The sequence below is a fragment of the Homo sapiens genome, chromosome 18, assembly GCF_000001405.40.
Source record: "Homo sapiens chromosome 18, GRCh38.p14 Primary Assembly".
Taxonomy (NCBI): domain Eukaryota; kingdom Metazoa; phylum Chordata; class Mammalia; order Primates; family Hominidae; genus Homo; species Homo sapiens.
The window spans coordinates 31,245,762-31,264,065 of record NC_000018.10 but is presented as its reverse complement, the minus strand read 5'-3'; the positions used below and the strand labels follow the sequence as shown (position 1 = coordinate 31,264,065).

Here is an 18,304-nt window from a genome sequence, read left to right as displayed (position 1 = left end):
CCAGGCGCGGGGGCTCATTCCTGTAATCCTCAAACTGCGGGAGGCCCAGGTGGGTGGATTGCTTGATTCCAGGAGTTCCAGAACAGCCTGGGCAACATGGTGAAATGGTCTCTACTACAAATACAAAAATAAGCAAGGCGTGGTGGTGCGTGCCCGTCGTCTCTGCTACTTGAGGGGCTGAGGCATGAGAATTGCTTGAACCCAGGAGGCAGAGGTTGCAGTGAGCCTAGATTGCACCACCGCACTTCAGCCTGGGCGACAGAGTGAGACTTCGTCTCAAAAACAAGAAAAACAAACCTTAATTGTCTACTAGGTATTAGGGATATGTTAGGTCTTTTTTCACCTCATTAATCATGTTTGTTTTAGAGTTATGTTTCTATGTGTCACTGGGTGTATATTTAAGAACACTTTCATTTCAGCAAATAATTTATTATTGGATCAACCATAAAGTTATTCAAAACATATAGTGAGATATAATTGATTACTGTATAGTGACGTTGTATCTCTTGACCTTGCTAAATATCTCACTATTTATAGGCGTTTTATTCCAAATGCTTTTGGACTTTTAAATACATAATCAAGGTGTCTTAGAAGCAAGGTCATTTTACTTTGTTTTTTCCATACTTAGGTCTTATGTTTATCTCAAAAATGTTATATTAATTTCAAAAGAAAACAGGCACAGAAGAGTATAGACTATAATTTCGCTTGTATTAACTTCGTTTGAAAATCATGCAAAACTAACTCATGGTGATAGATATCAGAAAAGAACTTACATCTGGGACAGGGGAGGGCCACTAAGAGGCCTGGAGGAGTTCTCTTGGGTGATCAATGTGTTCTTGATCTGGATATTTGTCACCTGGGGATATACATATGTCAAATTTGGGGATATACATATGGGGATATACTTATGTCAAAATTCATTGAGCTGTGCAACTAAGATTTGTGCATTCTCCTCTAGGTAATTTATACCATTTTTTTCTTGCTTGTTCATTATTTTGATATGGGGAGGTAATGGAATAGTAAACATGGCGTCAGAGTCCTCCACATGGTTCTAGTTGGTTCAGGGCTCTATCCTTAACTGATAGCAACTAGGGATAGCAGCCGAAAATCCAAACCACAAAGCTCCCTGAAGGCTGCTATAGTCAAAGATTTACAACGAGGTTTTAGGTTATTAAAAATCCAGTCACTAGCCAAAGAATGGGAAATGATCATCTCTACTGGAATAATTGGGTTTGGATTCTTTTGATTTGAAATCTTGCCCAATATCAGGGTGTTGTGAATAAAAGATACAATTAATGCTTTCAAAATTTAAGACTTTTTGTATTGATATAAAACAGCTTTTTAAAAGTAATTTATATTAATAGGAAGCTCTTCCAATGCATCCTTACTTTACAACTGTAATACGACTTGCAGACAGTTGCTATATCTGTTTGTAATTAAGTTAAATAGGCTGAAACATTATAAAATGATGTACATTTATAAATATAAAATATCTATATACAGTTGAATAAAATGTGTACTCAAAACAGCTCAATGTGTAAATTATTTTCTCAGAGGAGGCAAAGCATGCCAAATAAGTAAAACAAGCATGAGTTACTTTAGTTAAACATTAGGTTGATTAGGAGGAACCAGACCCTGATAAGGGAAGAATGTGGATCTGTAGTTGAGGGAGAAATGTTAAGGAGGTGTGGTTTGCTTTGTAAATAGCAACCATCATGAGACACAGAAAAACAGAGATGCGTGCTATAAGACACAATGCCAGACACCATTTTCTTCCATCTTCCCTTTTTATTTTATTTATATTCAAATTTCCAAAAACACCAGTTTTAAAAATAATTAAATGGACACGAATATTCAGTCTTTTAAAGTGTGATAGACAAGATTTTAAAAGTTATTGTGAAAACATTTGTTGGGTACATGGATATATATTTGAGTTAAGAACGAATGACCTTGCTCTTTCTTTACCCCAATAGACACTCCATGCCATAAGGGAGCGTGCCCTCCCGTCCTGCCCTCCTGGCTCTGGGCATGTGGAACCATCCCTTCTATTGGTTATTCAGAACTGTCTCAAGGACTCATGTTGAAACCTGAGCCTGCAGGGTCTCTGAAAGTTTAGGAAATCCTCAGATGCCTTGGAAATTCCCCACCTTGTCAGATAAATCTCTTAAAAGTGATGGGCCACTTTGAGCCTTACTGTTTCTCAGTCTGCTGAATCCATTTAACAGGGGGCTGCAGAGGGCAGGAGTCTGGCTGAGCACAAATCTTTACAATCCGTGGTTTGGGAACAGGATATGGTTATGCTACACTTTGTCAAGAATTTGGGGCTTCTGGGTTCAGAAAATATGCTCAAAACATGCCTGAAGGTGTTTTGGAGCAAATATTTGGAGATTCCTTATTTTGTTCTAGAAACTGCTCTGGAATTTGGGGAATACAGTTCAAGGGACCCAGTAAACCTGCTTGGACTCCTGAATAACCAGACTGGACTTAAATCGGGATCTGCCAACTGCTGGTCCACAATTATAAAAAATATGTTTTAAAATGTCGAAATGACAAGAGTATGAGAAAAAGTAGCAGTCTTAATGTCCAATCCCTACATATCCCTGATTCCTACCCACCAGAGGCAACCTCTTTGAATTCTGATCTTCTGGGATTTCTTTCCCATTGTTAAATGTACTTATGTTGACTTCTCTTCGGTTCAAAATTTGAGATATAATCTATTAAATTCCTTCTACAGAAAATGAGACCATCATTTAGCTCTCTTTAAAACCAACAAGTGGAAAAATTCGTTTCACGCAGATATTTATCTTTCAACTCATCCTCCCAATTTGGTTATTCCATAATTTTTACTAAGATGAAAATTCAGTGCTTATATTATTGTGACTTCATATGCATTATTTACAGCTGAATCAGGTAATATCCTTTTTGTGTAATTTTTCATTTCTCTTGGAATTCGTTAACAATTGATGCTTACATTTCTATGTATTTTTCATTAAGTCATCCTCAACATTTGCAGAACTCTGAAAGCTTAGGTAATCATTCACTCAGTTTTAAAAATTTGTTTAATTGTTAGTTTGCTTGATTTGTTTTTTAAGTTTCCCTCCTGGAGTATTCTACCTGGGCTGCAGTTTGGGCTGCTTGCTCTCCTTATCAGATTCATCTTAGGACTTCCCTTCATTCTCATCCTTAGACTTTTTTTTTTTTTTTTTTTTTTTTTTGAGACAGAGTCTCACTCTGTCATCCAGGCTGGAGTGCAGTGGTGCGATCTCGGCTCACTGCAGCCTCCGCCTCCCAGGTTCAAGCGATTTTCCTGCCTCAACTACACGCCACCAACTCTGCTAATTGTTTTTTTTTTGGTGTTTTAATGGAGATGGGGTTTCACCATGATGGCTAGGCTGTTTTGAACTCCTAACCTCAAATGATCCACTTGCCTCAGCCTCCCAATGTGCTGGGATTACAAGCCTGAGCCACCATCCCCAGCTTTCATACGTAGATTTTTCTGCTGCTCTCCCCTTTGTTGGATCTCTTGCTTCTCAGGTCCCATGATTTCTGTTTTCTTGACTTATTTCCTTGTGAGAGAGCAGCTTCCAAGAAGAGGTGCATTGCAAGTAATCATTTTGAGACTTGACATACATTATAATGATTTTATTTACTCTCACACTTCGTTGATTGTATGATAGATATCAAAGTCTAAGCTAGAAATGAATTCCCCTCAGAATTTTAAATATATGGCCCCATTATCTTTTAACTTCTAAGACTGTGTTATTTACCATTATTCTAACTGAAGTAACTCAGGAATGGAAAATCAAATATTGTGTGTTCTCACTTATCAGTGGGAGCTAAGCTGTGAGGATGCAAAGGCACAGGAATGATATAATGGACTTTGGGGTTTCTGGGGAAAGGGCGGGTGGGGGTGAAGGATAAAAGACCATACATTGGGAACAGTGTACACTGCTGAGGTGATTGTGGGTGCATCGCAATCACAGAACTCACCACTAAAGAACATATTCACGCAACCAAACACCACCTGTTCCACCAAAACTATTGAAATAAAAGTTAAAAAAAAAAAGATTTCCTTCTTCAGTCTTAAAAATATTAAATAAATATATTAAAAAAGAAAATTGTGTCATTTAGTGGCATTTTGTCAAGAAGAATAAATACTTGTGTTCAAACTCCAATATTTAACCTTTTTAGTTATACTACATTGATTTCTTGTTCCCTCGAGTGCTTTGTACCTGCTCAAGTATGCTTGATTGCTTGTTAAGGCCAAGACGTAACACACTGATTTGTGCTTCAGTGGGCATGAAGCACATTATTATTAACATGAATAATAATTTTGTTATTTAAAAACAATTTTTTTTTGAGATGGAGTCTCACTTTGTTGCCCAGGTTGGAGTACAGTGGTGCAATATCAGCTCATTGCAACTTCCGTCTCTTGGGTTCAAGCGATTCCCCTGCCTCAGCCTCCCAAATAGCTGGGATTACAGGCGTGTGCCACCATGCTGAACTAATTTTTGAATTTTTAGTAGAGATGGGGTTTCGCTGTCTTGCCAGGCTGGTCTTGAACTTCTGACCTCAGGTGATCCACCTGCCTCGGCCTCCCAAAGTGCTGGGATTACAGGCGTGGGCCACCGTGTCTGGCCTAAAAACAAATTTTGATATTGGAGCATTATTGCACAACTGAAAAAGAAAGTTAATGAGTCAAGAGAGTTCCAGAAAATATACAGAGAACTCTGAATTACCAAAATACTTTATGCTGTTCTATTTGAGCAGTTACTTAGTTTTTACACTTCTTAATTTCAAGATGATGGCCTAAAATTATATGAGAAGTTCTTTAGTTCTGAACATACGTTATTGAAACTTTCTGAAACTAAAATTTCTGAAAGACTAGTGATAAACTTATTCGTTGTAGAAAAAGTTCTATTGTAAAATCCTTAATTATACTCCACGTATGAAACATAACTTTCAATAATACATTTTCAGCATTTAAAACACATCCTTTAAGCTCATTCGTGTACCTTATAATTGTTCACATATGCAACTGATTGAAATCCCCTAAGCATCAGAATGAACCTAAAGATACACAGCTTTTGGCAAGCCTAGTAATTTCTATCTGTATCTCAAATATAGTACATATATGAAACTAAGCTTCTTTCAGTTAGCTTTAAACAGTGATGAAATTACTTGAGATGAGACAGAAAAAATTACATTTATAGGAATTCTTTGTGAAAAGGAATTTGACTGTGGGAGGAAAACAACAGACATACCACAGGTTGAATATACCTGAAATCAAACCTAAATGATGGTAATGAGATTAAAACAATTGTTAGTGTACAAGGGTAAAGATAGAGAGAAAGCAGACAATTGTAATGACGTTTTGGAAGTTAGAAATCAAATGGACAAGTGGAAGTTGAAGCAGTAGATGACTGAGAGTTGAAACCAAAGTAGATGCATTCACATCTGAAAACCTAAAAGGCCTCATGGATTGGAGACAGATACAGAGGGAGACGAGAATAAGGTTGAGAGTTAATTATTGCAATAATTAGTACCCTAACTTCCAAATTCTGCACAGCTGATGGATGTCCCTGCTTTACCCAAGAAGATTAGAATGTTACTCTCTGGAGAGTAACTGAGTAAATCTCAGAAAGACTCTGAGCTTGCAATTACCTCCATGGTGAAATGGGTTAAATAAATATAGGTATTTTGAATGCTAAGATCCTGACTACTTTGCTTCATTAGCTCAAAGATGTTGACTGCCAGCATTATTTCTCCAAGGCAGAGAAATGAAAGATTCTTTTGTAGAAAAGAATCTGGGGTACTCAAATGTAATATCCTAGCTAGATTGCCCAGTAACAAAGTCCACAAATTGACATTCCCTGTTCATGCACAGTGCACTTCTATTCAGCTTTTTCATTGCTTCATTCTTAAATATGAATGGCATCAAACTTCTTAGCAACTCTGAACAATAGAAACAAAAGATAAATGTCTTTGAAATACTTAGAGAAAATGACTACCAACTCGAAATACTATTCCTAGACAAACTGTCAGTTTAGTATGGATGATAAAGGATAGAATACAGACATCTTCAGATATTCCGTGTCCTCAATTTTTTCTCTCATGTGTCCTTTTGTAGGAAGCTAGCAGAAGATGTCATGCATCAAAATGAGAAATAATCTTTAAAAAGAGGATGACATGGGATCAAAAATCAGGAGTTCCAACACAAGAGAAGAAAATAATCAAGATGCTGCTTAAAGGAAGATCAAGGATGACAACCAGCTTAGAGAACAACCATTCAGATCAGCGGACAGAGGACTATAGGAAATTTGTCCCCAAGAAAAAATAATAGGCTACTGAGATATTTGAATAATGTACATTTCTTCTGGAAATTTCAGGGGTGATAGTATATACAAATCTAAGAAAACAAATAAATAAGCGAGCAGAGAAAATCATGCAGTGTCAAGCTGCACAAACTTCAAACTCAGCATACGTTAAAAGCATGTGTTAGAGTTGGTTGTGTATAATATATCTAATGGCAAATTGGTTTAAAATTGAATATTGCAAAATTGGGAATTATTCATATGAGCTTAAAAGTGTTGTCAAGATTTTAGGGAAGCAATCCACTGTCCTCCTTCATTCAAGGACTTGTTTTGTGCTCTCTCTGCCTGAAATGCTCTTCCCCAAGATGTTTGGTTGACTTACTGTCTTAATCATTCAGGTCTTTGCTCAAGCATCACTTCTTTGCTTAATTTATTAAAAATAGCACCGGCTATCACTTTTAAAATTTTTTCTCTGTTTCATTTTCTTCATAGGACATGTTAGTTTTTAAAATGACACTTAAAAAACTTGTTTATGTCTTGTCTGTCTCTTTTCTGTGTCCCAGACCTTGAAACATCTGGCATATGGTAAGTGCTTAGTAAAGACTGTGGATTAAATGAACCCAATGGGCGGTGAGCTTCATGACAGCAGAGACTGTCTTGTTCACTATTGTATCTTCAACCTCTCTTCAAGTGTCTATAGTTATAGGTAGCAGGTATAGGTATTCCAAAAACACGCATTGGTTGAATGAATAAATGAATGAAATCAAAGATGAGGTTTCTCTTAAAATTTTTAATGAAAATGTTTTGCGACACTTGGGGATTTCATACAATTAAAGAAAAGTCATTTTTTTTTTCCAATGGAGTTCAGGGTGAGTGATAAATTCTTCTCTCCTCCATGGTGGACCTCAGATTCTGAGCTGCAAGCTCCGAAGGTGTGTAGTGTGTAGTGTGTTCTCTCACACCTCAGTGAGCAAATCCAAATAAACATGATCACTAATATGGTTAAAAGGAGATGAGTATACCTCAGGGCCAATACCAATTCATAAGCCTCATGGAGTTCTTTTCATGATGCATACCCTACTTCTTCTCTTTCTTCTCTATATTTGGAGATATTCATTGTTTACAAAATTTGAGGAAAAAGGCAAATAATTTTTGAATATGAATATGAATAACGCTAGGATTTGACTGATTTTTCTTAAAACAATATGAAAATAAGTGAATGCTCAAAGAAATGGGTCATCCCCTGAAAGTGTAATTAGCAAGTGTTGACAAGCTCTGGAGAAGATATCTGTGAAATAGTGACTATGAAGGGGAGGTGGGCATGGCGGTGTTGGTGTTGCCATTCTCACTCCTCTGTCTATCACTGTTCCATAGTAAGTTAGTTATATATTTCTATTGGGTAAACATTTCCACTGGGCTTTTGGCTAAAAAACATTTAAGTAACAATCATAAAGAGCAAAAAAGAAACCAAAATCAAAATTTAAGACAGCACAGACTGATACTGATGAAATAATACTCCATTGCTCATTCTAATGTTTTTAAGAGCCAAGGGTGTGTTCTGCAAGTTCCACTTTCAATCAGCAGTACTGGCAAAACAAGGGATGTCATTGCCCTTAGGCTGAAGGCAAGATCTAACCTGCCGTCTCTGTGAGCCTTAACTATATAGTCCAACTCTCTGATTCAAATAAACTATGATGAGTGAGGCTGTGCTCTGAAATACAACAAATTCTCAGTCTGGATGAATGTATATATTCTCAAGAATTGAAAGAGACAGAGAGAGAGAGAGACAGAGAGAGAAGAGAGAGACAGAAAGAAGCAAAGATTATTGAAAAATTCCAAACTATTTTACACACATATGTCCTCATTTACATACAAATATTTACTATTCTGGATTGCTAATAATAGTGAAAAGCCTTTGGACAGATTAATAAGGGTGATTTATACATCTTAAATGATGTTTCTGTTTTGTTATTTTGATGCCGCTCCTGGGGAGCATGGGGGAAAGCTAATGACTTACTCCTTGGTGGGAGAGTAAGGGTGGCTGTGCTGGAGCAGCTCAAGTGTATTCAGCTGGAGGATACATGTGTGTTTCCTGTGGACATGTGTGGACCATACAGACAGGGAGCTGGAATGGAGTCCTGGAAGAGGGAAGGGACTCTGACCATGTGTTCCTGGGCAGAGACAACTACCAGTGAAGCTAGGCCTTTGCACGTACCCTGAGCATTGTTGTGAAATGGGCCTGCGGGAGCTCCTGTACATCCCTCAAAAACCCTTAGAGAAGTATGGCCAGGACAAGAATGTGTAAAGCCACCCAATCAAGTACAAGTTCTCACCTCACCTTCCTTCCTCTGCTTTTATCCCTGATAGGGGTGCAAACATCCCTTAGAAATGAGGAACCTCAGAGCAAAAGCCAGACCCATGCATATACACACCCAGCTAATGTTTGACAAGGTCACTAAGAACATACAATGGAGAGAGGATATCCTCTTCAATAAATGGTGTTGGGAAAACTGGATATCCGCATGCAAAAGAGTGAAATTGGACCCTTATCTTACAACACATTCAAAAAGCAACTAAAAATGGATTAAAGACAAATATAAGACATGACTTGAAACTGTAAGACTAGAAGGAAATACAGGGGAAAAACTCCTTGGCATTGATCTTGGCAATGATTTTTTGGATATGACACCAAAAGTACAGGCAATAAAAGCAAAAATAAACAACTGGAGTTACATCAAACTAAAAAGCTCCTCATGCCAAATAAACTATCAAGAAAATGAAAATGCAGCCTAAAGATTGGGAGAAAATATTTGCAAACCATATATCTGATAAGAGGATAATATCAAAAATATATAAGGAATTTTTCCAACTCAATAGTGGTAAGTTGCCTGATTTAAAAAAAATGTACAAAGGATTTGAAAAGACATTTTTTTCAAAGAAGACATACAGATGGCCAATAGGGGCATGAAAAGGTGATCAACATCGTTAATCATCAGGAAAATGCAAATCAAAACCATAATAAGAGATCACTTCATGTCTGTTAGGATGGTTATGATTTAAAAAACAAAAGATAAAGTGATGAGGATGTGGAAAAGCGGGAGCTTTCATACATTGTTGGTGAGAATATAAATTGGCACAGCCGCTTTAAAAAACAATATGGAGGTTCCTCAAAAACTTAAACCTAGAACTACCATATATTTCAGAAGTCCCACAGTGGATATATATCCGAAGGAAATAAAATCAATATCTCAACGACACTGTGCTCCTAATACCCGTTGCTGCATTATTCACAATAGCAAAATTATAGAAATAAGCTAAATGTCTGTCAACGGATGCATGGCTGAAGAAATGTATATACACAACTACATACAATAAGATATCATTCAACCTTAAAAAAGAAGGAAATTCTGCCATTTACAACATGGGTGAAACTAAAATACATTATGCTAAGCGAAATGAGCCTGGCACAGAAAGAAAGATACTGTCTGACCTCACATATATGTGGAATCTAAAATAGTCATAGCAGCACAGAGTGAGAACGGTAGTTGCCAGGGTTAAGGGTGGGTGGGAAAAATGGGAAGATGTCAGTCAAAGGCTACAAAGTTTCAGTTATATAAAATGAATAAATTCTAGAGATCTAATGTACAGCATAGTGACTATAGTTAGTAATACTGTGTTGTATACTTGAAATTTACTGAGAGTATATCTTAAGTAGTTTCACCACAAAAAGGTAACTATGTTAAAAAATGTAAATTACCTTGATTTACAAGGATATGTAAATTACCTTGACTGTAGTAATCAGTTCAGTAGGTTTATGTAGTATATGTATGTCAAAACATCACATTGTACACCTTAAATATATATAATTTGTATTTAAAAAATGTAAAATATCGAAACAAAGTAAAAAGAGAAAGGAAGCCAATAGCACTCTTATTCTCAGAGGCAAAACTGGAATTATAGAGTCATTAATTGGAAAAGGGGAGAAAACTTTGCATTGAATAAATATTGAAGAGTTGATTCTCCTATTTGCACCCTCTCTCTCTCTCTCAATACATTTACACATTTATTATATTATTTCTGGACATTTTGATTTCTAAATTTGAATTGCATTTTCTGATTTTATGCCTTAAAGTTCTATTCATCTAAGAATAAGCCAAAAGCCCAATTTTATCTAGAGGCAGGGTGACATTACAGCCAGTGAATGCATTTTAAAAGGATGGTGGGAAGCCAAAAATTAAAATTGTGTTCTACTGATCTCCTTGCTTCTACTATTTAACCCCCATGATCTATTTCTTCAAAGTCGTTTCCTAAAAACAAGTTAGGAATCAAGAATAAATACGTGGATTTATTTTCATTTATTCCGTCAGCACCAGTGATCTGAGGATTTACATCTTTTTTCAGTTCTGAAAGATTCTCAGCTCTTTCTTCACTGGGAGCCCCACTGAATGGTGGTTCCTCTCAGGCTCCCCTCCTTAATTCTTAACTGTTCCGTCATGTGTCTTTAAAATCCTTTTATCTTTCTGTGTTGCATTTGGGTGGAAGTGTACAATACTATCTTTCAATTTATTAAACTCTCTCCTTCTGTCCAGTCTAGAGAATATCTCATCTGTTGATTTTTTAAAAATTTCATCAATGAGTACATTTTGATTTTTAAGATTTCTAATGTGTTCTTTTTCAAATGCTTTTGTTTTTGTATCATTTCTGTCTTGTCTGGTTTCATAATTTCTTTCTCTATCAGAAATTTCCTTCTTTATTTCTTTGAGTATCCTAATCATGTTTATTTTCAAATCATTTTCAGATTGCTCTTACATGCTCATTTTATCTGGAACAATTTACTTTCTGATTGTTGATTTTGTTGGTTTTCTTTCTTCCTGCCATCTTTTTGGAATTTTAATTTATAAGCCTTATATTCATGGTTTACAGCATCTCTGCTGTTATGGTCAACATGCTGACCCAGTTACTAAGCTAGGTGTAGAGTCAGTTCCTGACTGCAAAGTGTGTCTGCTCTCTCTAGCTTCCCTAGTGACTTTGCATAAGCCTTCACCATAAGCAAGAATTATTTTAAGCTTTTTAAACCTCATTTCAAAGGTGGTGGGTGTTTCCACTTCAGCGTCCCTAATTGCAGCTTTAAGCAATTAGCTAGGCTGTAGTACTCTACCACATGGGGGACACTTCTAGAAGCAAGAGTTACTTATCTATTATTTTAGTGTTTATCTTTGAATTTTAATGTGTGTGTGTATATATATCTTTTTTTGTAAGGAAGTCTAGAGTTATCTTGTATTTTTCTGTCTTTCTCCAAAATAAAGCAATGACTTTACTATACCTTAGCTATCCATAAACAATGTTCCCATTTCTGGCCACAACTGTATTTATTTACTTTAAAAAGCATATTAATAATGTATTTTATATTCCTTTTTTAAAACTATACTTTATCTATATATGTTAGGAACATGGCAGTGACAGATGACAGTGTTAAAACCTATACTTATATTACTTGTATCACAATTCTAATGGTTCTCTAATCTCTATAATTGTAAAGCTGTTGCAGAGTTAAAGACTATAAAGAGGTTGTCACATTTCTACTGGTCTGGCTTATAGATTGTCATAAGATTTTAATATCTCAAGTCAAATGGAATGGGCTGTAAAAGAAAAGGATTTATTTTAAAAACTGTTAATACCATAGCATTACTAAAAGAAATATTCAAAAGAAAAATATTCACATTATGGCAACATTGTTGCCATATCTCAAAATATTTCAAGACTTTCCTGGAATTACTTTCAAAGCCTTCCTTCATCAGAGTTTCTGGGGAAAAATCTCTGTCCTCTAAGATGGATTTGACTTTTAACAACGACAAAAAGTCACTCAGAAACAAGTTGCTGGATTCATCTATTATTTAAGCTGGGTAATGCATTATAGATCATAAGCAAATATTTCAGAATAAAAATTATAGAGCAGTGAGGTTCTTTTTCTGGCTTTTAAATTGGGTCTACAAATAGTTCCAAAAGAAGTACTTTAAAATGTTCTATTATTCCAGCTTTCTGAAGCAGTTACAATGATGCGAATGCTCATATCAATCGTAGATCCTGGTATATTTGTGGGAAAAAAATCCATAAAATTACCTAATGGTTGTATCTTAAGAAATGGAAAGAGAACTACAAGTCAGGATGCTTGGGCTCTAATCTCTAGATCTCCCATGAAACAACTCTGGTTCTTGAACAAACAGCTTCACCTGCCTGGCCTCAGTGTCTTCTGCTGTCAAATGGTGGTTGGTGGTAGACAGTCAGGATATGGGTTGGGAAAAGAAATCTAAAGTTTACTCTAGTGATATAATTGTGATATTTATATCCTTTTGTCTATTTCAAGACAGTTTCTGTCATTCTTTAACCTTTACTCTTCTACACTGAAAAACTAGGATTTTATAGCTACTATAACATTTCATAGTTTTATATTCAATTTCATTTTCCCAAACCTTGAATTATTTGTAGTTATCTGTGCTCCTTATAATTTCTTCCATTCATTTTAAAGTACAACAAATCAAACTGGATGCTAAGAACCTAACTGACAGTGTAGCAGAGATTTACCTCCAGGTTTTTGTTTGGCATCTAAAAATATTTTCCAGAGTCTTGACTTGCTCACATTATTTTGCTGAATCATTCGGCATGTGGAAAACTGGGACACCCTTTCTTCTCTCTTCCTCTATCAATTCCCAGGCTTTTAAAGCTGACATTTAGAGCCACATCATTACAGGTCTCCTGAAATGTAGTATAGTTTCTTTGATTTATATTCTAGAAACTGTTTTTTTCTAAAATAAACAGTAAAATACTATATATCGCAACAGGAAGAAAAACCAAAATAATGTAACTGTAAATATTTCTTGTTTTTTTTTTTGCTTTTTTTCGACCATTCCAATAATAAGAGTAACAATACCTTTAAAGATAGATTCAATGTCGGAATTAATAGGATGCAGTGAATGTCTGCATCTAGTGAGCATAATAGAATATGGAATAAATAATTATAAATCAGTGTAGGAAACAAGTTAGTGAAAAGTCAATAATAAGGATGATTAAATTTTAGATTTTAGGAAAGTTGATGAAAGTGTCGTCTTAGAATTCTAATGAAAAAAGTATTTTCTTTGATTAATGTATGTGGGATTTTATTTAGTGTCTAGGGAATGGTATTAATGATTACTACAAACATGTTTATTTCGTGATTTTTTGATGGTTCAATTTTTATGGTATTTTAAAAATCCCTTGGGAGAAAAATAAGGCAAAATGAGGGTCTAGGACTTGAGTGACCTTAGTTTTACCTTATTGATGTGGCCCCGTTCATTCCTGAGATGATAGCTCCTCAAGTTTCCTGCTGCTGGCTGCTGCAACAGGCCACCAAAGCCGACAGAAGCTATCCTGGGACTTCATGTGAATCTGTAACTTATGTAACAAACAGGAATAGAGAAGATTATGATTTTTCTGTATTTTTGAAGGAATTAAAGTCAAACTTCTTAGATTTCCTTCTAGCTGGTAAAAACAAGGGAACCATTTTTTGTTAAGATTTATAAACTGAAGAATTTCCTATCAATGCAGAATTCTAATTTTGACCAGTTGACACCTAAGCTTTTGAAAAATTTTTCACACATTGACTGGATTCCATTGTTTTTAAATATCCTGATCTTATATCTGGAACTCTGTCTGTACATTTTTTCTGTTTCAATTATAACTAATTCTGGCCTTATTTGGGAGAAATTGAAGAAATGGCTTTTAAGTAACTTTTGCTGTTTATTTGGTGTTTGTCTTGTGCTCAGGCAGAAAAAAACGGATGCCTGCTTTGCTCCCATGAGAAAACAACCTGATTATTTTATTATTATCATTATTTTTGCTTTCTTTCTTCCTGGAACCATTCCCTCAGTCCCACTCCACACATTTCACTCCAAACCTCACTGCCATCATGATACCTATTATGTAAAGAACACTCGTGATTAAAATTTCCCAGCATCATCTGAATTCTTTTTTGCATTAAATGACAGGTATAGCTCACCAAACACCACCTATAATACAATCAGTGGAAGAGGAAACAATTTTTACTCCATCAATAGATTATTCAATATGATGAATGATGATCTTCTATTTGATCCGTATCTTAACATATTTCTGGGCTCATTACTGATGAAAAGGAATCATCCTAACAGTATTGATACTAGTGTTGGTATAATGATTAATTTTGTGTCCACCTCACTGGGCTATGGAACACCCAGATATGTGGTGAAACATCATTCTCGGTGTTTCTGTGAGGGTGTTTTCAAATGGGATTGACATTTGAATTGGTTGACTGAGTAAAGCAGATTGCTCACCCTAATGTGAGTGGGCCTTATTCAAGCAGTCAAAGGCCTGAAAAAGGCAGACTGTCTATGAGTAAGAGGGAACTCCTTTTGTCTGACTGCCTTTGAATTTGGTCATCAGGTTTTTTTCTGCCTTGGACTCAAACAGAAACATTGGCTCTTCCTTGGTCTCAAGTCTGCTGGCGCTGAGACTGGAATTATATCATCTGCTCTTTGGGTCTCCAGCTCATCAACTCACCCTGCAGAGAGCTTGGGACTTGCCCACAATTATGGAGGGGGGCTAATTCCTTATATTAAATCTCTTTTTGGTTTTGTTTCTCTGGAGACTTCTTGACTAATTTAAGTGACTTAGTTTCAGATATACATTTCTGGCAAACAAGAATGACTTTTATTTCTAACACCATAGCCTTCCCCTGCAGGCTCATGCATGTTCATATACAAACCTCAAGTATGTGTATAAGTTTGATGCTTAGAGTCAAGAATGAATAACTCTGTGGTCCATTAGTTTTGCTTAAAAAACTTTTATGAGGCCAAGTGCAGTGGCTCACGCCTGTAATACCAGCATTTTGGGAGGCCGAGGCAGACGAATCACCTGAGGTCTGGAGTTCAAGACCAGTCTAGCCAATACGGTGAAACCCTGTCTCTATTAAAAATACAAAAAATAAAAAATAAAAATAAATAAAATTAACCAGGCGTGGTGGCAGGTGCCTGTAATCCCAGCTACTCAGGAGGCTGAGGCAGGAGAATCTCTTGAACCTGGGAGACAGAGGTTCCAGTGAGCCAAGATCGTGTCACTGCACTCCACCCTGGGCAACACAGCAAGACTCTGACTCAAAAAACAGAAACAAAAACAAAAACAAACAAACAAACAAACAAAAAACTTTGGTGAGTTATCACCCATATTGGTAATGTGAATAATCTACACTACTACTCGATAACATCCAAGAGAAAGCTGAAATGGGATAATGTGCAAAAGATGCTTTGGTATTGTTTATTCTCATCAATATTACCTATAGTGCTTATATCTTAGGTGGCATGAATCGAAATGGAAGCAAAGATACTGTTGGAGGTTTCCATCAATATTTTTAAAATGTAGCTGCTCATTTGTAATGCATTGGTCATGTTGATAGAGAATATTTAGAGTATGTCAAAGTGCTAACCAGTTTATTTGCCATTCTGGTTATGTATGTTTTCTTCAACAGAGGTGAGGGACAAATATCTCTGACTAAAAACAGGGAAAACAATAATTATAGTTGACACCTGCACGGTTCCCCTTATCCCATACCATTAGGAGAATATATGAGTGTTTAACTGAGGTAAAACAGAAGTGGAAATACGTTTAGAAACGTGCATCACCACTATTACACAATAGCTCTAATTGCTCATAGAGTTTGATGTGTTTCTTATTGCAAAAGGTCTGAGGGCATCGTTTGTTTTGTCTGTTCTTTATGGGTCAGGAAATAGTGAGAAAGGAATTGAAAAAGTTTGGCTTCTCAGAGCTCACCCTGAAGAGACTATCTCTAGAATGTGAGGTCATTTCTTATCTGAAGGGTTGGTTTATTTCCACATCCATGAAATGTCATTTTCTCTGCAGACACTGCCAATTTAAATTTATTTTGTGTGTGATGTAGACAGATGTCTGCTAGGAGCTGGGCTGAGGCCATTAACACTTCACAAGGGAGGTGGTTCTAGTACCTAAGCGGTAGTTAGCAGCTCTGACTTGTGGTGCTAGTTTTACCAGTGACTGGGCCTTTCAGAATTTGACTAGTATTTAGTACAGAGGCTTATTTCTTAGAAACTTTTTCTATCATGAGCAAGAAAGAAAAACTAAGACGTGTTCTTCAGTTGACTTGTCTTAAAGGTAGCTAAATTAATTATTAGAGAATAAAGCTACCTCTCTCCCAAGAGAGGGACAATAAACTATATTGTCCATTATTAAAGCATTTTCTCTATTCTGTAGTCCATAAATTTTTTTATGGAATTAGTCTTGTGGAGTATTTCTAAATGGCTTAATTCTCGTTTTTCACCACTGCTTAAGGCATACAAATATTTAAAATCTTAATGAACTGCACATTTTATATATTGTTACAACTGCAAAGATTTATCATTTCTGTGGAATTTAATTGAAAAAGCTTGTTTCTTTTTTTCTTTCTTTTTTTCTTTTTTAAGACAGGGTCTCACTCTGTTGCCAAGGCTGGAGTGCAGTGGCACGACCACAGCTCACTGCAACCTCTGCCTCCTGGGCTAAAGTGATCCTCCCACCTCAGCCTCCCGAGTATCTGGGACTACAGGTGCATGCCACCATACCCGGCTAATTTTTGTATTTATTGTAGAGTTGAGGTTTCACCATGTTGTCCAGGCTGGTCTCAAACTCCTGAGCTCAAATGATCCTCCCACCTCGGCCTCCCAAAGTGCTGGGATTAAGGCGTGAGCCACCACGCCTGGCCAAAAAAGCCTATTTCTTTCACACAAGAATTCTGGCTCCTTCTTTCTTTCCAGGGCTTTCAGGCAAGGCTCATTCCTGCAAGCAGTCTTCCAGCTTTTCTGCATATGTGAGTCTTAGAGGAAAATCTGCTCAGCTAAGCTCCTAGGCTAATAAGCACCTCTTTTCTTCTAATTCTTGAGAGCTTTTGTCTATGGCTGTTGTCAGGACTGCTTTACTTCCTGTTTTCTGGAAACATACACCAAACTGTGGCAGCTGAATGACCAAAGCTATCAGCCAGACTCACTCTATCTGAGCCATCTTTTTCTGGGGTTGTCGGGGAGGGTGGGAGGGCATCTGGTCTCCACTTCCTGTTTTCTGTGTCCTATCTAGACCCATTTCTAATAGATCCTCCAACTTCCATTCTGTTCATTCTGTCTTCTAAGCATCATTCCTCTGAACATTTAACCTGGTACCCATATATCACTATCCAAGTTTAATTTAAGACAACGGTGGCTAACAAATCAATAGCACCTACTTGTCCTGAGATAATTACTGAGCAGTACCAGTGGACTGGTTTCTAAGATATTCTACAATATAAATACAAGGCACAAGGTTTGCTGGTGAGATGTCAGATTTCATTTTGGAATAAGAGTTTCGGATTCCAAGCATGGTATAAAATAGAATATTTTATGTTAGGACATTAATCCAAAGTACCAACTAAATTCAAACTTCTAAAAGTATTAACAAGTAGGAACTAATAAGGTTGACATGGATAGGCTCTTGAGACTAAAGAAGTTATGGGATTATTTTAAATTAAAAAATGGAAATAAAAACACTTTGAAATAAAAGCCAGGGTTTATACCATCAGAGCAAAAACTAGGTAGCCATATAAATAAAACAAATCCAAGCTAAATGTTCAGCAAGACCAAAAGAAGCTTCCATTCCCCGCCCACTTAAATAAAAACACTAACCACACCCACACAGGCTATTTAGGTATGACTCCTCTGAGAAAGAGCTTCTTGCGTTTTCTCAGGGAGGAGTCAAGCCCCCAAACCTCATATTTTGTTTTCGTATGTCCTCTCCTACTATTTGAATAAGCTTTCAAAAATAACACATTGTCATTTCATTCATATAAGTCATATAAAACCTGAGATGTTAGCTTACTGAGGACAGAAAATTTGTGTATTTAATATTTTTAAGCTGTAAGTCCTATATGCTAGATTAGTGTTTAC

At 36.4% G+C, this 18,304-nt stretch overlaps 1 long non-coding RNA gene across 2 annotated transcripts in view; it reads right to left on the bottom strand.

Moving 5' to 3' along the window:
• Positions 1–1,768: 1,768 nt before the first annotated feature.
• The window catches only part of LOC105372049 (uncharacterized), a 34,186-nt gene continuing 17,650 nt past the window's right edge, over positions 1,769–18,304 (bottom strand). The window contains exons 2-4 of one of the 2 annotated variants that reach the window (XR_001753388.2): positions 13,622–13,742; positions 12,897–13,067; positions 1,769–4,639 (exon numbers count right to left, since the gene is read on the bottom strand). This is a non-coding gene — a long non-coding RNA (uncharacterized LOC105372049). Of the gene's footprint in view, positions 4,640–9,124; positions 13,068–13,621; positions 13,743–18,304 lie in introns of those variants that run through there. The other variant, XR_935334.3, reaches the window with a different exon arrangement.